Here is a 21169-nt window from a genome sequence, read left to right on the forward strand (position 1 = left end):
CCAGTGCTCTTGTAGCAGGATGAGCCGCAGACGAAACCCCTCAGACACAGAGTTAAAGAAGGAAGCGGTTTATTCGGCCAGGAGCATCAGCAAGACTGCTGTCTCAAGAGCCGAGCTCCCCGAGTGAGCAATTCCTGTCCCTTTTAAGGGCTCACAACTCTAAGGGGGTCCACGTGAGAGGGTCGTGATCGATTGAGCAAGCAGGGGGTAGGTGACAGGGGCTGCATGCACCGATGGTCAGAGTGGAACAGAACAGACCGGGAAGTTTCACAATGTCTTTCTATAATCTATAGATAACATCAGTTGCTAGGTCAGGGGTCGAATTTTAACTACCAGGCTTAGGTCAGGCCGGCCCAGGCCTGGTTTCGGGTCTGGTTCCTTGGTTTCAGGTCTGGTTCCTAGGCGCCAGGCTACCTGCCTTTAGTTTTGCTTCTTTTTCCTTTTCTGAGTATAAAACAATATAAAACAGTATGAGAGGGTCTGTCTCTCTTCTCTCAGAGTATTCAATTTCCTTAGGATTTTGAGCGTTATTCCTAATACACCCTTGAAACCCCCACACTCACACAGATACGTACACAGAGGGCACATACCCCCACACCCATGCATGCAGGCTTAACACACATAGCACACGTGAACACATATATACACACATGCGTGTTCCTGTCTGGCGTTCACTTCTGGGGCTACAGAGATTGGAGGAAATCAGGAGAGGAGACAGGGGGAGCCAAGGGGGAGTATGGCAGCAGAGGAGAGGGGTCCATTAGAAGAGGTCACACTTCCCAGGAGACCAGGGAGCTCTCTTTCCTGCTGCGACTCTGTAAAACCCTACATTTCTCTTCCTGGACTTGGGAATCGATTCTCCAATAATTAAACCAGATGGACTCCAAGTTTATGTCTTTCTGGGGTTGAATTCCTGTGGAGACTTGAACTGAACGTTTGAGTTCTCTGTGGCCCTTCTGGACTCTTCCTTCCTTCAGTGATAAGGGAAGAATGAGGTACACACTTGGGGTTCAGATATGTATGGAGACAAAATTAATTAGAACAGGAGGCAAAACACAAAAAATGGAGGGGATCAGTGCGGGAAACAACCACACATGTTGACGTCCCCCGAACACTTACAGAACTATCCCCTGTTCTTCCTCAACTCTAGTCATGAAAGTGGCGGATTTGTTTAATTAGTTATTTCCGATCTCTTTACACTCTCGGGGAATGTAAGGGGTTAGCAGACTTTCGCTGAAGCCACCTCAGAGCTGGGGTGTGCAAGTGTGTGGTGATCACGTTTGTCTTCTTGTGGCTATTGAGATAAGGTTTTATTACTAATGACTTACTCATCCTTCCTGCAGACTGGGGCGTCTCCCCTGTGTGTCCTCTGGTGAATGAGGAGGACTGACTTCCGGCTAAAGCCCCGCTCACACTCTCTGCAGACATAAGGCTTCTCCCCTGTGTGTGTCCTCTGGTGACTGAGGAGGTCTGACTTCCGGCTAAAGCCCTCCCACACTCTCTGCAGACGTAGGGCTTCCCCCCTGTGTGTGTCCTTTGGTGTGTAATAACATCTGACTTATCACTGAAACCTTGCCCACACTCTCCATATTTGACTTTCGCAATTCTTGAGATTCCTACCCCCACAAATAATTTGCCTGTGTTCCCTGGATTCACTTTCTGGCCTGTTCTGGACTCTTCTTCCATCATTCTTTCTCCCACTCTAGAGCTCCCCATTTGTCCTTTGGGTGGGCTAGAAAAGGCCCTTGAAATCTCCCTCTGCCATGTCCTTTTATTCAAGAGTTTGGACCTTTCTTTGATCTCTTGACCTTTGGTTTTGTCATTACAGCAGCGTGGATCAGAATATTGCCGCTCCTGATTCTGATCCCCTGGGCAGGGATTCTCTGGTTGGAGAAGTTTTCTTGCAGATGGTCCTGGGAAGTTCTGAGAGGAGTGATTGCGTTCCACATGTTGACTGAGAAATTTTTGACTTGAAAAGGCCAGACAGCATGAGGGACATGGATGGATCTCTGGCTTTGGTTCTGAAAGAGGAAGTTTTTGGTCAGGGTAGATGTTTTGTTCAGGCCTTACTACATATGAAGGTATGAAGATCAAATGAAGAACCAGTCATTCTTCATATGTTAACAATGCAAGCTCTCTCCCACCAAGTGCTGGATGGACCTTTACAGTCCATTTTTCCATTCCACTTTTATTCACTACATCTTAAAAAATCCAGAAATCCCACATCTTGGGCCTTTTCTACGTATCAGCCAGACTCTGGGTAACCTCAAGCAGCATCAGGGGCAGCATCATTCCTTACATAGATGGAACTGCAGTGACCTTTCCCCCATGCCACAGGTATCTTCCAAGTCCTGTAAAGCCTTCCCTGATCACCTCTGCCACATGCTCCCTCCCTGGGCCCTGGGCACTTTTGCGACGCGAGGTTTTCAGCTATTTTATTCTATTGAGAAATAACACTCTTGATGACTTAGGTGAGATTGTCCTTAGTGACTTCCTAAGAGGGGAAAAGGATCTATTAGGAGCACTCAGCCTGGAGATCCACAAATGTGGTTAAAGAGATGTGTTAGCAAATCTGAATTTGAGTATCCTCATTCAAAAGGACATATTTAATTGAGGACTGTTATGTGCCCGGTTCTCCATCAGGAAGTGTGATTCAGGTTGGCCAACACAGAGTGGTCCAGGTCCCACTGACTAAAGGACTGTGGGTCCTGCTGCGCCAACTAGGTGCATGGACTGCTTCTGTTTCAGATTCCACAAATCATAAAATGAGAATATGCTCTTTGTCAGGCTGCACATCAAGTATTCATGTCTGAGTTATTTCATTCAGTCTGAACCCATTTTAAATATAATAGGAAGTCTTGTTTCAAAATATATCCCTACTCAGGCTTACCGCCATGCTCCCCACCTTCATCCTGCCCACCATTTTCTCTCACTTGGAAACTGGAGCAGCTCTGAAGGGATGACCCATGGCAGCCTATTTTCCAAAAATGAACCAAAGCTGAACTCTTTCTGGCCTCAGGACCATTGCACTAGCTGCGCCCTGTGCCTGGAATCCTTGGCCCACAGGCACTTGCACTTCTCAAATGCTGTCTCCTAAGAGAAATCTTCCCTGACAATCCCCTGCAACACTCTACTGTCACCTCACACTGACCCCCAGGTCTCACACTGACCTCAGGTCTCACACTGACCCCCAGGTCTCACACTGACCTCAGCTCTCACACCGATCCCAGGTCTCACACTGATCCCAGGTATTCTTTCTGGATTCATTTTCTTCAAAGCACTAATCGCCGTCTGATATTACACATATGTCTGTGTGTATTCGTACGGTTCCCTAATTCACAAGTTATCTGTTCAAGAGCAGTTTTTTTGATTGTCTTCATCAGTCTGTATTTACACTTCCTGCAACATCGTCTGGCACAGAGTAGGAACTCACATGACAGCTAATTGAGATAATGAATGAATGAATAACAACATATGCGTATCATTAAGAAATATCAAGGAAATGCCAGAAGAAACTACCTTGTTGGGAGAGCTGGTAGGTGTTTGAGAACTTGATTTTTGTCTTTAAGTCTTTGAGCACTGTATGCTGTTATATACTTTGTGCATGAAGTACTTTGAATATAAAATCGGAACAAAGATTTAAAAATATAAAAACTGTTCCAAAGAGGCAAAGGCATATAACATGAATCTTTAATTTTGGAAGCCACTGATGTAAAATTTTACTGACTTTAGACGGCGTTTTACTCTACTTAAGAGTTCAATCATGAAAATTCTCTAGGATAATTCTTTCTTTCCTGTCCTTTTAAAAGAGTAATAGTGATGCCTACCTCTCCCTGCCATGAGCTCTTTCTTCCACTTGCTGCCCCACTTGATGCCCAGTTCCTGGCCATACTCATCCCCATACCAGACCAGCAGTTCACAGCCTGGCCTAATGACTCGGCAGGTTCTATAGAAGATCTGATGCCCAGTTCCTGGCCATACTCATCCCCAGACCAGACCAGCAGTTCACAGCCTGGCCTAATGACTCGGCAGGTTCTATAGAAGATCTGCCTGTGGTACTGGAAGGCCACCAGGTTCTGCTCTTCATCATCCCGGGCACAGTTCACATACCTGGGGTCAAGGCAGGCAAAGGGAAAGAAAGAGGCAGTGAGTTCCCTCCAGGCAGGATGACTACAATGCTCATCCTGCCTAGAATGCTTCCCTGCTGTGCCTAATCAGCCATTTTTTCAAAGCCCAACTCCAGACTTACCTCCACCTTGATTGGCCATAAAACACATTGACCTCTAGCTTCTCTAAACTCTAAATTAATTCTGTTTTATACCACAGAACTTGGTGCTTGATCACGTTGCTCTGCTTCTAGATTAGCTCACATCATTCTACACTCAGCTCAAGTCCATCTTTCTTTGACAGGCCTTCCTCTAATCACCCTACAGTTCACTCAGCTGCCATTCACCTGACTTCTTCAGATTCCTAGAGAAACTCAGAAGTCTCTTTCTCTTGGCCCAATAACATAGAACAGTAATAGTTGATTCATTTTTCTATTCTCTGATAGAACGACAGCCCATTGTGGAAAGGGGCTGGGTCATCCTGCAGTTCACTTCTGTTCAAGTAGTGAACTTCACTTCCTAACCTGGAACATACTAAGTGTTTAACAAATGTGGATTACATAAATTAAAGCATGAATTAACCTTATCAAGGTTTATCTTGGTGCCTCAATTTTGTCTAGCATACATATTTGTGTTTTGATACCAATAAATCATAATATCTATATTTTTATTTTTTATTTCTAAAAGTTGATGGTATAAAACAGCATTGTATGGAGAAAAATAGAAATAGGGGATGTGAAAATCATTGAGGGAGGCATAATGAGAAGGAAGGAAGTCCGGGTTTGTGAGAGATGGAGGTTCTCTCTGAAACTAAGAGACCTAGTGGCCTTACCTCATCCAGTTGGCCGAGGATTTATCTTTTCCATCCACATACTCATAGCAGTTTCTCCCCTTGGTGATCTGAGTTTCAAAAAATAAGGTAAAGACTTTTTAGAGGGTAAAAATCCGAAGAATTATTTTACTCCACGGTCATCAATGGCCTTTGGACCTGCAGAGCTTCAACTGCCAACTGAGACCACATGGCATGCACCTTAGTCATCATCTACACATCTGAGTTGGTTTGTCCAATCAGAGCAGAAGCTCCAAAAGGGAGGATGCACTTCTTTGTCTTTGTACCACTCTGCTCCCATGTACCCTGTGATCTCTAAATAGGAGTTCCATGTTCATGCAAAGACCCTTGAGTACACAGAGCTAACCATGTTATCCCTACCTATATCCTAACATGTAGAAGGTGATGTCCCATCAAAGGCACAGAAGGGATGTGGGAAGACAGAACAGGGGAAACAGCAGGCTCTTCTTACTAGCCAGGAATATCCACTGTTGGCTGCCTCTTCGTCTTCTGTAATTCGGCCCTCATAGGGGCCAAAGTGCAGACCCAGTGGCAGATCAGATGCCTCGTTCCATACTCCAAGCCCAGCCTGAGGGATGCCTGATGGCCCAATTCTCAGCCCCGGGGGCAGACTGAGGGCTGAACGGTTGGGATGCCCCTTGTCCACTGCACTGTCCTTTACAAATGTAGGGGGCCCATGAGCAGCACAGCTGTCAATGAAGAAGTTCTGACACATCTCACAATCTGGAAGTGAGGGAAGCAGGGATTAGGAAAGTTGTAATGCATGTTCCTTGATATAAGAGCTTCAGAAAGAGCGTGGCACTCACATTATTTAGCCCCAATCCTGTACTTTAATTCATTCGAGTAAGGGAATGATTTGTGGGCCAAATGATGAAATTATTGTACCAGGACATAACAGCAAGCTGTGTGAGTGGCTGAAAGGGTCACTCACAGAGGTAGTCATCATCCTGTGGCTCGCTGATCTCTTTGTATGCATGACCCTTTCTTTCTCGCAGGCTATACATCTTTCCTTCAGTCTCCTTCCTCCTGAGTTCTAGGTTGGAGAAGAGTAGATGGGTAAAATTGGGAGTCTGGGGTGTTTGTCCTTGTTTCATAAGAAAATGTGAAATCTCCTACCATCAAATTAGCATCTACCTTTCTACATACTCTAGTCTCCCTCTGTTTACTGCTTCAGAGAGACTTAGACCCCACACCCACACTGACTGTAGATGCCTATTCAATTTTAGTTTCTAGCTGTTCTCATTATCCCATTAACCTCCCAGCCTTTCTGCTTACAAAATGGTTCATTCATGCATTTATTTATTCAGAAAATATTTTTTGAGAGTTCATTACATCTTAGGCATTGAACAAAGGCCTGGACATACAACACTAAGAAAGTATAGTCTCTATAGGGGATCTTCTATGTACTAGTTGACATGTGATGGAAAAGGAAATGTAGAAACGCACAAAAGAATATATATTATCAGAGAGGTACTTATTGGACACCTCACATGTATGAATTCATTTATATTTAATTTAATGATTTCAAACAATACATGAGCTCTATATACTTGGTCTCATTTTACAGATTACCATTCAGGAGCCCATGGAATTTATAAGATTTGCCCAAGGCCCCAATGCTTCTGTGTGGATTATAACCCAAGTGAGTGACTTCAAAGTTAATGATCTTACATGCTATTCAATACTGTATCCAAGGCTAGGCATGGTGGCTCAAGCCTGTAATCCCAGCATTTTGGGAGGCTGAGCTGAGCAGATTACTTGAGGCCAGGAGTTTGAGACCGGCCTGGTCAACATGGTGAAACTCTGTCTCTACTAAAAATCAGCCGGGCACGGTGGTGCACACCTATAATCCCAGCTACTCGGGTGACTGAGGCATGAAAATCGCTATTTTCGTGGAGGCAGAGGTTGCAGTGAACCGAGATCTCACCATTGCACTCCAGCCTGGGTGACAGAGTAAGACTCTGTCTCAGTGAACAAATAAATAAATAATTTTAACAAAATACTGCATCTAACTTCTGGTCTCACAGTTGAGTCCAGCTTAAGCCCAGGCCTATCCAAAGTCCACCCCACATAGGTAGACCATACTCACCAACCTTTCTAGAGGACATAGAGGGACTAAATTCCCCTCAAATTTTTTCTTACCCAGTTTTAGTCTAGAGTGCTGTCCAGAGGTACTTGCTTCTCCAGGAGGGGACACTGGTTTCTGAGCCTGCTCTGAGTCACTTGTATTCAGTAAATTTGGCGTTCCTGACAATTCTCTCAAACTAGATTCATTATTGAATGACGCCTTGGGCATTCCCTTTAATGTGAGAATCACATATTAAAAGACAACGTGCATTTATTTAGTTCTTTACGGCTTGCAACATGTTTTCATATGACTGTAGTTAATGTTCAAACCTTGGAAATACCTAGAGTGTCTAAATACTAGAGGGAAAAGACAAGGTCTAAGTGGGTAGTGAATCTGGGACTCTAACCCATGTCTTAAGGCTCTTTCCTTCAACTTCCTCTCAAAACGTTCTGTGTAAGTTAAAGGGAAGGAGGAAGAATACTTGGGAAGACTAGCTGGAGAATCAGCAAGATCTGTGAAAGAAGGGGATGAGGGCTTACAGAGAGAAGGAGGGAATCTTCCATAAACTAGTAGACTTTTGATGGAAGGGGAAATGTAGAAAAGCACAGAGGGACAAAGCACATCTGGAAAATGAGGTAATAGGGCAGTAAGGTTCGGAACAGAACAAAGAGATGATTGGCAAAAATATATCTAGACAACTAAGAAAGTGAAGTCAAAGTTGCATGTTGCCATATCCTGGAAAGAATATTTGGCTTTTGAATTAGATTAGTTAGTTCCTGTACCAATTCTACTTGTCTGCTTGAATAAGGGTGTATTGTTAGCTAATTTCTCTTTAGTTTCCCGATCCAGAAGTTGGCATACATGGTTTTGTTTTGTTTTGTTTTGTTTTGTTTTGAAAAGGAGTCTTGCTCTGTTGCCTAGGCTGGAATGCAGTGGCATGATTTCAGCTCACTGCAGCCTTCACCTCCCAGGTTCAAGAGATTTTCCTACCTCAGCCTCCCGAGAAGCTAGGATTACAGGCACGTGCCACCACACCCAGCTAATTTTTGTATATTTATTAGAGACGGGGTTTCGCTAGTTTGGCCAGGCTGGTCTAGAACTCCTCACCTCAAGTGATCCACCCACCTCAGCCTCCCAAAGTGCTGGGATTATATGTAAGAGCCCCCGCACCCAGCCCATGCTAATTCTTTTTTTTTTTTGAGAGGGAGTCTCACTCTGTTGCCTAAGCTGGAGTGCAGTGGCACGATCTCAGCTAACTGCAGCCTCCATCTCCCAGGTTCAAGCGATTCTCCTGCTTCAGCCTCCCGAGTAGTTGGGATTACAGGTGTCCACCACCATGCCCAGCTGATTTTTGTAGTTTTAGTAGAGATGGGGTTTCACCATGTTGGCCAAGCTGGTCTTGAACTCCTGACCTCAGGTAATCTGCCCACCTCTGCCTCTCAAAGTGCTGGGATTACAGGTGTGAGCCACTGCCTCCGGCACTAATTCTTAATATTGTAGTGAACATGAAAGATAATAATGTTCACCAAAGTGTTTTTTGAGCTACTTAATACAGTATGAATGTGAGATTAATAATTATTCTCGCCAGGCACAGTGGCTCACACCTGTAATCCCAGCACTTTGGGAGGCCAAGGCAGGCAGATCACCTGAGGTCAGGAATTTGAGACCAGTCTGGCCAACCCTGTCTCTACAAAAAATACAAAAAACTAGCCGGGTGTGGTGGCGGGCGCCTGTAATCCCAGCTACTCGGGAGGCTGAGGCAGGAGAACAACTTGAACCCAGGAGGTGGAGGTTGCAGTGAGCCGAGATCGCGCCACTGCACTCCAGCCTGGGTAACAAGAGTGAAACTCTGTCTGAAAAAAAAAAAAAAAAAAGAAAGAAAAGAAAAGAAAAGAAAAAAATAATTTTTCTCACAGACTGGGTGCGGTGGCTCACATCTGTAATCCCAGCACTTTGGGAGGCCAAGGTAGTAGGATGGCTTGAGCCCAGGAGTTCAAGACCAGCCTGAGCTACACGGCAAAACCCTGCCTGTACAAAACACATAAAAATTAGCTGGGCATGGTGGTGCATGCCTGTGGTCCCAGCTACTCAGGAGGCTGAGGCAGGAGGATCACACTAACCTAGGAGATGGAGGCTGCAGTAAGCCGAGATTGAGCCATTGCACTGCAGCCTTGGCGCAAGAGCCAGACTCTGTCTCAAACTACCCCCTGCCCCTGTAGAAAAATAACAAACGAAAATTATCTCATAGTCCTGATATATCTCTACAGTTGAAATCTAACTCAAAGATATTTTCAGCATTCCTTGACCCTGTTACTTATAGTTTAATTCATAAGCTTGGAATCAATCATTCAGAAAACACTCAGGAGGCTCTCAGAGGCCCTGAGCTGGGCTTGGGAGTTCTAAGAAGAATCAGGAAGGGACTAGACTCCTGAAGAGCTCACAATGAAGAGGCAGCAGGCAGGCTAAACAAATAATTCCAAATAACATGACAGTTCCCTAATTGGAGCCCAGAGGAAGGAGCTGTTACTGCCTTCTACAGGAATGAGCATTTGAAATTGGTTCCAGAAGAATATATTTTTACTTAATAGGGTGTAACCTATATGAAGTCCTAAACCATTTTCTTATTTGTTGTTTCTCAATCTTCGAACCTGAAACCCTTCAGGGCTGGAAGCTGCTTCCTCTGATCAGAATGGGTCCCTTATGAGGGTAGGGACCCTATCTTCTTCTGGTACCATCCACAGTATGAATTGTCTATTTACTTGGAAGCTTCCCTTAATCAGAGTGTTTTAGTGCAAATCTGACTTTACTACAACAGAGAAAAACTGAGGTTGAAAAATCAATTGGACGAATGATGTAAAGACATATGGGTAAGACAGCATAAACTTTATAAAACTATGAAACTTTTAATGATCTTGTAAGTGCTTTAGAGAAGGAGTTTTGGATTAGACTGCACCAACACTGAATGTGATCCCAGGGATATAACTGAACATTTTTATACCTCAGTTTCCTAACCTGTAAAATGGCTATAGTTATAGTACCTACTTAATAGGTACTATATGTGAAGTTGAATAGGTACTATATGTAAAGTTTATTCATGTAAAATGCTTAAAAAAGTCTGAAAATACTGAGAAAATAACCCATGGTAGCGATTATTGTTGCTGTTCTTATTAACTCTTAAAATAATGATGATGGCAGACACTGCGCTAAAGAGATCAGGAGAGGAAGGCAGTAGTTCCTAGGATAGTCTGTACATTCTCCTTCTCTTACCTGTATTTGGATCTATGAGGAAGGTTTCTTGTCAACAGGATTTGGGAGATACTTACCTTCTGGTGTTTACTCTGTTCTCCTCTGAAGGCCATCCAAGGAGGTTTGACTAAGAGGTGATGAGAAATCAGTGGTTTGGTTGGTAAATGTTTCCAAACTCTAGAGATTTTTTTTTCTTTTTGATATGGAGTCTCCCTCTGTCGCCCAGGCTGGAGTGCAGTGGCACAATCTCCCCTCACTGCAACCTCCGCCTCCCGGATTCAAGCAATTCTCCTGCCTCAGCCTTGTGAGTTGTTGGGAACTACAGGTGTGCACCACCACACCCAGCTAATTTTTGCATTTTTAGTAGAGATGGGGTTTCTCCATGTTGGCGATGCTGGTCTCGAACTCCTGACCTTAGGTGATCCACCTGCCTCGGACTCCCAAAGTGCTGAGATTACAGGCGTGAGCCACTATGCTTGGCCTAACTCTGGAGTTTCTCATTAGAGACAGAGAATTCTGAATCAGAGAGTGATGATTCCAAGTATTATCCAAGGGCAATTTGGAAATGTTTTCTGAAGTATCATTAAGGCCTATGCTTCTATTGGGGGCATTGCTAATTTTCTTAAGATTTAAAAAAATAGATAAAACTTCATCTTTGTTTCAGCCTATCTGTAAAGGTATACCTAATAAGGTGTTTATTACATTAATTTTTAAAACGTAAATTGACCTTTCATGACAAACACACTGAACAAACTAGGAATAGAAGGAAATCACCTCGACGTAAAAAGGTCATATAAGAAAAGCCCTTTTTTTTTTTTTTTTTTTGAGATGGAGTCTCGCTCTGTCACCCAGGCTGGAGTGCAGGGGCGCGAGGTCGGCTCACTGCAAGCTCTGCCTCCTGGGTTCAGGCCATTCTCCTGCCTTAGCCTCCTGAGTAGCTGGGACTGCAGGTGCCTGCCACCACGCCCAGCTAATTTTTTGTATTTTTAGTAGAGATGGGGTTTCACCGTGTTAGCCAGGATGGTCTCGGTCTCCTGACCTTGTGATCCTCCCACCTCGGCCTCCCAAAGTGCTGGGATTACAGGCGTGAGCCACCGCGCCCAGCCGAAAAGCCAAATTTTTAACATCATAGTCGATGATGAAAAACTGAAAGCCTTCCTTCTAAGGTCATAAACAAGGTAAGGATTTCCAGTCTTGCTACTTCTAGTCAACATAGTCCTGTAAGTCGTAGCCTGAGCAATTAGGCCAGTAAAATAAATAAAAGGCATCCAAATGGAAAGGAAGAAGTAAAATTATCTCTGTTTGCAGATGACATGATCTTACATGCAGAAAACTATAATGATTCATTAGCTGGGCATGGTGGCGGGCACCTATAGTCCCAGCTACTCGGGAGGCTGAGGCAGGAGAATCACTTGAATCTGGGAGGCAGAGGTTGCAGTGAACCGAGATCATGCTACTGCACTCCAGCTTGGGCGACAGAGCGAGACTCCATCTAAAAAAATAAATAAAAATAAAAAATAAAACTATAAAGATTTTACCAAAAAATTGTTAGAAGTAATACACGAATTTGGGCTGGGCATGGTGGCTCAAGCCTATAATCCCAGCACTTTAGGAGGCAGAGGTGGGGGGATCACGAGGTCAGGAGATCGAGACCATCCTGGCTAACGTGGTGAAACCCCATCTCTACTAAAAATACAAAAAATTAGCTGGGTGTGGTGACGGGCGCCTGTAGTCCCAGCTACTCAGGAGGCCGAGGCAGGAGAATGGCATGAACCTTGGAAGTGGAGCTTGTAGTGAGCCGATATCATGCCACTGCACTCCAGCCTGGATGACAGAGCGAGACTCCGTCTCAAAAAAAAAAAAAAAAAAGAAGTAATACATGAATTCAGCATACAAAAGCAACACCCCAAATCAGTTGTGTTTCTATTTAGTAAAAATGAGCAATCCAAAAAGGAAATTAAGAAAAAAATCCCAATCACAATAGCATCAAAAAGAATAGAATAATTAGGAATAAACTTAACCAAGGAGGCAAAAACTTGAACACTGAAAACTACAAAACAGTGCCGACAGAAATTTAAGGAGACACAAATAGATGGAAGACATCCTGTGTTCGTGGATTTGAAGACTTAATATTGTTAACATGTTCATACTATCAAAATGATTTATAGATTCAATGTCCTGTCTATCAAAATGCCAATGCTATTATTTTCAGAAATGGAAAAATATCCAAAAAATCATATAGAATCTCTAAGGACCCAGAATAGCCGAAACAATCTTGAAAAAGAAGGATAAAGTTGAAGGCCTCACACTTCCTGATTTCAAAGCATATTACAAAGCTACAGTAATCAGAAAAGTATGGTACTGGTATAAAGACAGACCTATAGACCAATGGAACAGAATAGAGAGGCCAGAAATAAACCCTCGTGTATATGGTCAAATGATCTTCAGCAATGATGCCAAGACTACACAATGGAGGAAAGGACAGTCTGCAAGAAATTGTGTTGGGAAAACTGGATATACATATGCAAAAGAGAAGACAGACTCTTACCACATATCTCATATAAAAATTAACTCAAAATAGATTAAAGACTGAAATGTAAGGTCTATAAGTACAGAACTTCAAGAAGAAAACACAGAGGAAAAGCTTCATGACATTGAAATGAACAATAACTTCTTGTATATGACACCAAAAGCATAAGCAATAAAAGCAAAAATAGACAAGTAGGACTACATCAAACTTAAAAACTTCTGTGTAGCAAAGAAAACAATCAACACAGTGTCAAGGCATCCTACAGAGTGGAAGAAAATATATGCAAACCATGTATCTGATAAAGGGTTAATGTTGCTGAGTGCAGTGGCACATGACTATAGTTCAGCTATTCAGAGGCTGAGGTGGGAGGATCACTTGAACCCAGGAGTTCGAGACCAGCCAGGGCAACATAGTGAGACCTCTGTCTCAAAAAAAAGAAGATAAAGAGTTAATATCCAGGCCAGGCACTGTGGCTCATGGGTGTAATCCCAGCACTTTGGGAGGCCGAGGCAGATGGATCACTTGAGGTCAGGAGTTCATGACCAGCCTGGCCAACATGGTGAAACCCTGTCTCTACTGAAAATACAGAAGATTAGCTGGGTGTGGTGGTGTGTGCCTGTAATCCCAGCTACTCGGGAGGCTGAGGCAGAATAATCGCTGGAACCTGGGATGGGGAGGTGGTAGTGAGCTGAGATCACGCCATTGCACTCCAGCCGGGGTGACAAGAGCGAAACTCTGTCTGAAAAAAAAAAACAAAAAACAAAAAAACGAAGAAAGAGTTAATATCCAGAATATATGAAGAACTCCTATAATACAACAACAAAACAAATAATTAAATAATGGGTGCTATGGGCTGAATTTTGTTTCCCCCAAATTCATATGCTGAAGCACATTTAATACCTCAATATGATGGTATTTAAAGATGGAGCCACTGGTAGGTAATTAGGGCTAGGTGATGTCATGAGGGTGGGACCCTTAGGATGACATTAGTGCTTTTGGTTGGGTGCGGTGTCTCATGCCTGTAATCCCAGCACTTTGGGAGGCTGAGGTGGGCAGATCACTTGAGGCCAGGAGTTTGAGACCAGCCTGGTCAGCATGGTAAAACCCCATCTCCACTGAAAATACAAAAATTAGCTGATGTGCCCCTGTAGTCCCAGCTATGTGGGGGGCTGAGGCAGGAGAATTGCTTGAACCCGGGAGGTGGAGTTTGCAGTGAGCCGAGATTGCACCACTGAACTCCAGCCTGTGGCAACAGAATGAGGCTGTCTAAAAAAAAATCTTCTAGTAGGTATTATTGCTTTTATAAGAGGAAGAGAGAAATTTCTTCTCCTTCCTGCTGTTGGCACACAAATAATTCATGTAAATACACAGTGAGCTGGAGGCTGACTACAAGTCAGGAAGAGAGCCCTCACTGGAACCCAACCATGCTGGCACTCTGATTTTTTACTACCAGGCTTCAGAAATGTCAGAAAACAAATTTCTGTTGTTTAAGCCACTCAATGTGTGGTATTTTCTTGTGGCAGCCTGGGCTGACTAATACAATGGGCAAAAAGCTTGAATAGACATTTCTCAAAAGAAGATACATAAATGGCCAAGAAGCATATGAAAATATGCTTAACATCACTAATCATTAGGGAAATGAAAATTAAAACCACAATGAGATATCACCTTATCCTGTTATGATAGCCTCTGTCAAAAAACCAGAAAATAGCAATGTTGGCGAAGATGTGGAGAAATTAGAACACTTGCTTATTGTTGGTGGGTAGCTTAGTCTGTTTTCTGCTGCTTTCCTAGAATGCAAGAGAGTGGGAAATTTATGTGTTTGTTTGTTTTTTTGAGATGGAGTCTCGTTCTGTTGCCCAGGCTGGAGTGCAGTGGTGTGATCTCGGCTCACTGCAACCTCTGTCTCCCGGGTTCAAGTGATTCTTCTACCTCAACCTCCCAAGTAGCTGGTAATACAGGTGCATGCCACCATGCCTGGCTAATTTTGTATTTTTAGTAGAGATGGGGTTTTGCCAAGCTGGCGAGGCTGGTCTCGAACTCCTGACCTTGTGATCTGCCTGCCTTGGCCTACCAAAGTGCTGGGATTACAGGCGTGAGCCACTGTGCCTGGCCCAGAGTGGGTAATTTATAAAGAAAATAATTATTTGGCTTGTGGTTCTGGAGGCTGGGAAGTTGAAGAGCATGGCACTGGCATCTTGCAAGGGTCTTCAAGCTGCATCATGACATGGTAGAAGGGTAAGTGTGCATGTGAGACAGAGAGAAAGACAGGGAAGGGCCCAACTCATCCTTTTCATCGGAACCCACTCCTGCAATAACTAACCCACTCCTGTGATAATGGCATTAATCCATTCATGAGGTTGGAGCTATCATTACCAAATCACCTCTTAAAGGCTCCACCTCTTAATACTGTTACAATGGCAATTAAGTTTCCAATACATGAACTTCCACACATTCAAACCATAGTAGTGGGAATGTAAAATGGTGCAGACACTGTAAAAAAACAGTATGGCGCTTCCACAAAAAATTAAAACCAGAACTACCTTCTGATCCAGAAATTCCACTTCTGGGTATATAATATATTAAAAAGAATTAAAGGCTGGGCGCGGTGGCTCATGCCTGTAATCCCAGCACTTCGGGAGGCCGCGGCAGGCGGATCATGAGGTCAGGAGATCGAGCCCATGAGGCAGGCGGATCATGAGGTCAGGAGATCGAGACCATCCTGGCTAACATGGTGAAACCCCGTCTCTACTAAAAATACAAAAAAATTAGCCTGGCGTGGTGGCAGGCGCTTGTAGTCCCAGCTACTTGGGATGCTGAGGCGGGAGAATGGCGTGAACCCGGGAGTCAGAGCTTGCAGTGAGCCGAGATTGCGCCACTGCACTCCAGCCTGGGCGACAGAGCGAGACTCCATCTCAAAAAAAAAAAAAAAGAATTAAAAACGATCTCAAAGAGATATTTGCACACTGATAGTTATTACAGCATTATTCACAATAGACAAGAGGCGAAGCAACCTAACATCCATTGACAAATGAATGGATTTTCAAAATGTGGTATATACATGCAGTAGAATATTATTCAGCCTTAAAAAAGAAGAAAATCTTGTCACATGCTGTGACATGGGTGAATCTTGGGAACATTCTGCTAAGTGATTAAATCAGCCAGTCACAAAAAGACAAATGTTTCATGGCTGATTCCACGTATATGAGGTATCTAAAGTAACCAAATTCATAGAAACAGAATTGCAGTTGCCAGGAGCTGGAGGGAGGAAGAAATGGAGTGTTATTGTTCAATGGGTTAGGGTTTTAGTCATGCAAGATAAAGAGTTCTAGGGATCTATTGCACAACAGTGTGCATACAGTTAATAAAGTTGTACGCTTAAAAATTGTTAGAAGAGTAAATATATGTTGTTTGATTTCCACAATAAAAAATAAATTGACTTAAATTGGGGATTTTAACTGAGTTCAGATAAAGATGTATAGATGTGTGGTAAACCACGGGAGATAGATTCCCTCTAAAGAGACATTCTTTTCATGTCAAAACATTTGCAGAAAAGCAAACGCTGGCCTTTCATTCCTCTTACATTACATTAAGGTCTTAAGGAATCTCAAATCCACAGATGGGGAAATCGTAGACCCAATCCAAGTTGCTTTCTCCAGTTTGGGCAGATTGACTGTTTTTACTTCTAAACTCTCCTAACCAAGCAGTAGAAGAGGAAATGAGCTTTGCACTTCTATTTTATAATTATGGTACATTATTTTATCTACTTGATGCTGTCTCTGGTCAGTGACATATGGGAAAGATCAGGGCAACTAAACAGCTCTCTCAAACCCGCTCCAGAATCGAGACAAAGAAGTAGATACATTTTGGTATAAGAGGATCATATAGTATGATGAAATGTACATAAATGATGTATCTTTACTTAATATTATTTCTTCTAAGACATTTAACTCAATAACTATTATGAGATTGGTGTTAGAAAGCTTTTTTGTGGATTTGCAGTTTAATTGTTTTCTTTACTTGTTCTGTGATTTATTAACATTGTTTAGCAAAAACAATGTTTTCTTTTTTTTAAAAAAAGAATGACAATTTTTTTTTTTTTTTGAGATGGAGTCTCGCTCTGTCGCCCAGGCCGGAGTGCAGTGGTGCTATCTCAGCTCACTGCAAGCTCCGCCTCCCGGGTTCATGCCATTCTCCTGCCTCAGCCTCCTGAGTAGCTGGGACTACAGGTGCCCGCCACCGTGCCTGGCTAATTTTTTGTATTTTTAGTAGAGATGGGGTTTCACCGTGTTAGCCAGGATGGTCTTGATCTCCTGACCTCATGATTCGCCTGCCTCGGCCTCCCAAAGTGCTGGGATTACATTGTGCTTGTTTGTTGAACATTTATGTTTTTGAGGGAAGACTCTTTTTCCTTTGTTAAATTCTGAAATGTAGCTGAGACCTAAACCGAGGCCGGTTTCAGGAGGTCACTTTTTTTTCCCCCCGAGACGGAGTCTTCTCATTCTGTTGCCCAGGCTGGAGGGTGGTGGCACGATTTCGGCTCACTGCCACCTCCACCTCCTGGGTTCAAGCTATTTCCCAGCTTCAGCCTCTTGAGTAGCTGGGATTATAAGCACCCATCACCATGCCCAGCTATCTTTTTTGGCATTTTTAATAGAGATGGGGTTTCACCATGTTGGCTAGGCTTGTCTCAAACTCCAGACTTCAAGTGATATGGTTGCCTCAGCCTCCCAAAGTGCTGGGATTACAGGTGTGAGCCACCATGCCTGGCCAGGAGGTCACTTCTAAATCTTACTGGGGGCTATGCACGGTGGCTCATGCCTGTAATCCCAGCACTTTGGGAAGCTGAGGTGGGAGGAACACTTGAGCCCAGGAGTTTCAGGCTGCAGTGAGTTATGATTGTGCCACTGCACTCCAGCCTGGGTGACAGAGTGAGACCTTGTCTGTAATAATAGTAACAATCATCATCGTCATCATCATCATCATCATCATCATCATCATCATCATCATCCCAGCATTTTGGGAGGCCAAGGCAGGCGGATCACTTGAGGCCAGGAATTCGAGACCAGCCTGGCCAACATGGTGAAACCCCATCTCTACAAAAAATACAAAAATTAGCTGGGCAAAGTGGTGCACATCTGCAGTCCCAGCTACTCGAGAAGCTGAGGTGGGAGAATTGTTGAACCTGGGAGGTGGAGGCTGCAGTGAGCCGAGATTCTACCACTGTACTCCAGCCTGGATGACAGAGCAAGACTCTGTCTTAAAAAAAATAAAAATAGGCCAGGTGTGGTGGCTCATGGCTGTAATCCCAGCACTTTGGAAGGCCAAGGTGGGTAGATCACCTGAGGTCAGGAGTTCGAGACCAGCCTGACCAACATGGAGAAATCCCATATCTACTAAACAAAATTACAAAAAATTAGCTGAGTGTGGTGGCGCATGCCTGTAATCCCAGTTATTTGGGAGGCTGAGGCAGGAGAATCGCTTGAACCTGGGAGGCAGAGGTTGCCGTGAGCCAAGATCACGCCATTGCACTCCAGCCTGGGCAACAAGAGCGAAACTCCGTCTTTAAAAAAAAAAAAATCCTCCTTCCCTTCCCTCTTACCTTGCTGCCTAGGTGTCCATTCTTCATCGGAATCTTCTGTGTCATCCACCTGGAGTTTGATGGCCTGCCTTCGGTGACACATGAAAGCTGGTCGAGTGGCTCTGAGACCTGAAAAGAAGCAAAAAATTTTGCTCTGAAACGGAAGAGCTGGGATGAGGAACAAAGGGCAGTGGCAATGGAAAGCACCACAAAGCCAGTGCTGCTCAGTCTGATGAGCTGGGAGAGTCTTGAACAAGGTCAAGATGTGACCTCTGCATGGTCAGTATCCACACACAACCCTGCACTGACGCAAAAGAACAATATTTCCCTCCAGATTTGTCTCCGTGCAAAAGGGAATTGTGGGCAGATGCCGCCACCTGATAATTAAAATAATATAGGGACCAAAGACCTGTTTTATATCGCCCAGGCTGGTCTGTGCCCAGCACTTCCTGTTACCTACAGTAATCAGTGCATTATAGTTCATTTTCACATTCCTATAGCGAGTTTTCTCCCAGTCTCCCATTTCTGCCCATTCTTCCTTGGTGAAGTATATGGAAATGTCTTTGAAGGCATCTTTGACCTAGAGGAAGTAACAGATTCCATCAGTGATTTACTAATACACATCGAGCTGGTCCTTTTCCTCTACCCTGCGTGTAGGGCATAGCCTGGGGCCTCTGGGAGTCTCTGTGAAACATAAAGACCTTCCCTCCTTCTCCAGATTGTGTCCTGTTTAACTGAGCAGACACTGAGCATTTTCCTAGCTCTCTGCTGACACAGAGCAGTCGCTGATGCTAGTGTTCTTTTCTCCCCCATGTCCTGGCCAGGACCAGCTGCCCCCATTCCATGCACATTCAGACAGAGTCACCCAAGGGTACAGGCCAGGAGTCTGCAGCACTCCAGAGATCAGCTCCTGCTGGGAGTCTGGCTTCGCCTCCCCGACTTCTCACCATGGGCTTCCGCTCTGTTCTCTCTGTGTCTCCTTCTGGGCTCTCCTCTTGGGACCTTTCAGGGCTCATGGTGCTGGGACTGTCTAGAAGGCCCTGCTCCAATTCTGAGTGTGGGAAGGGCCCCTGAGTCTCCCAGCTCCTAGGCCAAAGGCTCCTGTGGAAGGAGAAGGTGCTGAGATGGGGCAACAGCCCTGAGCACTACCCAGAACAAGGCTCTGTCTTCTCCATCTGGCTGGGGTGTTCAGAGCAGGAAGACTGGGTTCCTGGTGAGGTCTCGAGCACCCCAGGGAGGTCTGGGGGTACTGATGGGATGGGAAGGCCTCCACTGGCCATGAGCTGCCACCTAATGTAAGCTGGATTTTGTTCTTTTAGTTCCCCTGCAGCTTGGCTCATTTGGAGAAGGGTGGCACAGGTGCCTGGAGGGTTGTAGCTACCGGTGTTTGAGGGGAGTCCTGAGGTGTGAGAGCCAGAGGAGTCTCAAGGAGACCTTGAGGCCCCCTGACTGCTGGGACTTGGGTCACACTGAGGAGCAGGGTTCTGTTTTAGCGAGGCAAAATGAACATTTTGCATAGACAGGATTTGGGGATCTCTACCTGGGGATTCTAGAAAAATCCAGGAGTAAAGCAGTCTGCATCTCTAAGGGGAAGCTATCTCTCAGGTTGAGATTTGGGGTCCCTCAGGCTGAGGGGATTTGAGATGTCTTAGACTGAAGAAATTGGGGTTTCTCAGGTTGAGGGAATTTGGAGTATCTTGAGCTGAGGAGCTTTGGTATCCCTCAGGCTGATAGTATTTGTGGTTTTTCAGGATGAGATTAGGGGTCTTTTAGGCTGAAGAGATCTGGGGTGCTCTAGTTGACAGGATTTGAGATTCATCAGGTTAAGGGGATTTGGGGTTCCTCGGGATGAAAGGATTTGGGATATTTGAGGCTGAGGAAATTCTGGGTCTCGGGTAAAGGAGATTTGGGTCTCTCATTAATGGGTTTTAGGGTGTTTGACACTGAGGTTATTTGGTCCTTGAAGCTGACGGGGTTGAGTTTTCAGGCTATTTAGGTTATCTGTGGTTGGGGAAATCTGGTCTCTCTGAGATATTTAGGGTTCCTCAGGCTGAGGTATTTGGGGTGCCTTAGGGTGAGGGAAATTGTGGCTCCTCAGGCTCAGAATATTTGGGGATCTAAGCATTAGGAGATTCGATGTTCCTCTGGGTGAAGGGATTTGGGGTCTCTGAAGCTGAGGTACTTTGGGGGTTTCATGCTGAGGGGATTTTAAATCCCTCAAGGTGGCAGGATTTGGGGTCTTTTGAGGCTGAGAGGATTTGGAGCTTCTCAGGGTGAGGGGATCTGGGGTCTCCTAGGCTAAAATTTGAAGGTCTTGGGATGAGGGTTTACAAGGGTTTCACGCTGCACGACAAAGGCTCCCCATGCTCTTCACAGTCTCCCGTTTTCTCCTGCCGCGGTGTTCACCCTGGCCGGGCGTCTTCTCGGAGCCGCTCAGGAGGTGAGACGCGGTGGGTGCCAGCCTGTAGTGCTGCCAGCCAATCAGCGTTGAGACCAAGGCGAGCCCGCCAATCGGCAGTCAGGAGGTGCTAAAGGGGCGGGGAGTAGGGCGGAGCCTTGCCTGTCAGTCATGGGCACAACCCGGTTTTGGGCTCAGGAGGTCGGGGAGGGGCCTGGCTTTTCCCGCCCCTGGGGAAGGTCCCGCCCCTGGGGAAGGTCCTGCCCCACCCCGCTGGGATTGCGTGCAACCATCTGGAATCCTCCCGCGCACAGGCGCAGTTTCGCGGTTTTATTACTTGGTTTTCCCCAACGCCGGTGTTTCCGACTGAGCCGGGAGTCGGGGCTGCTC

At 44.9% G+C, this 21169-nt stretch overlaps 1 protein-coding gene across 6 annotated transcripts, besides 3 other annotated features; it reads right to left on the minus strand.

Moving 5' to 3' along the window:
• Positions 1-52: 52 nt before the first annotated feature.
• PRDM7 (PR/SET domain 7) lies at positions 53-20818 on the minus strand. Of its 6 annotated transcripts, NM_001098173.2 has the most exons (11): positions 20713-20818; positions 19329-19482; positions 18838-18961; positions 18403-18510; positions 10348-10397; positions 7099-7255; positions 5888-5989; positions 5408-5679; positions 4939-5006; positions 3828-4110; positions 53-2021 (listed from the first exon to the last, which is right to left on the minus strand). In NM_001098173.2, the coding sequence occupies exons 2-11, from the start codon at positions 19395-19397 to the stop codon at positions 1776-1778; spliced, it is 1479 nt and encodes a 492-aa protein (NP_001091643.1). In that variant the 5' UTR covers positions 19398-19482; positions 20713-20818; the 3' UTR covers positions 53-1775. The 6 variants fall into 6 exon arrangements, with proteins under 6 accessions (NP_001091643.1, XP_016878372.1, XP_011521131.1 ...); XM_017022883.2 differs by lacking the exon at positions 18838-18961; XM_011522829.2 differs by lacking the exon at positions 3828-4110.
• Positions 932-2131: an enhancer, noted in NCBI's record as "P300/CBP strongly-dependent group 1 enhancer chr16:90123853-90125052 (GRCh37/hg19 assembly coordinates)". NCBI's record gives its function as "activates an origin of replication core promoter dependent on BRD2, BRD4, P300/CBP, MED14 and CDK7 cofactors, with strong dependence on P300/CBP, by STARR-seq in HCT116 cells {active_cell/tissue: HCT116}" and the evidence as "EXISTENCE:reporter gene assay evidence [ECO:0000049][PMID:35650434]".
• Positions 1532-1581: an enhancer, noted in NCBI's record as "active region_11433". NCBI's record gives its function as "activates an Ori minimal core promoter by ATAC-STARR-seq in GM12878 lymphoblastoid cells {active_cell/tissue: GM12878}" and the evidence as "EXISTENCE:reporter gene assay evidence [ECO:0000049][PMID:35858748]".
• Positions 20800-20929: a silencer, noted in NCBI's record as "silent region_7937". NCBI's record gives its function as "represses an Ori minimal core promoter by ATAC-STARR-seq in GM12878 lymphoblastoid cells {active_cell/tissue: GM12878}" and the evidence as "EXISTENCE:reporter gene assay evidence [ECO:0000049][PMID:35858748]".

Source organism: Homo sapiens, chromosome 16 (genome assembly GCF_000001405.40).
Source record: "Homo sapiens chromosome 16, GRCh38.p14 Primary Assembly".
In the NCBI taxonomy this organism is placed as follows: Eukaryota; Metazoa; Chordata; class Mammalia; order Primates; family Hominidae; genus Homo; species Homo sapiens.

Coding starts and splice junctions, on each gene's coding strand:
- PRDM7 (NM_001098173.2), bottom strand. CDS start 19,397: ATGAGCCCTGAAAGGTCCCAAGAGGAGAGCCCAGAAGGAGACACAGAG. Junction 18,962..19,328: donor GAACAGAGCGGAAGCCCATG/GTGAGAAGTCGG, acceptor TACTTCCTCTAG/GTCAAAGATGCCTTCAAAGA. Junction 5,990..7,098: donor GCACTCTAGACTAAAACTGG/GTAAGAAAAAAT, acceptor TCTCCAACCTAG/AACTCAGGAGGAAGGAGACT.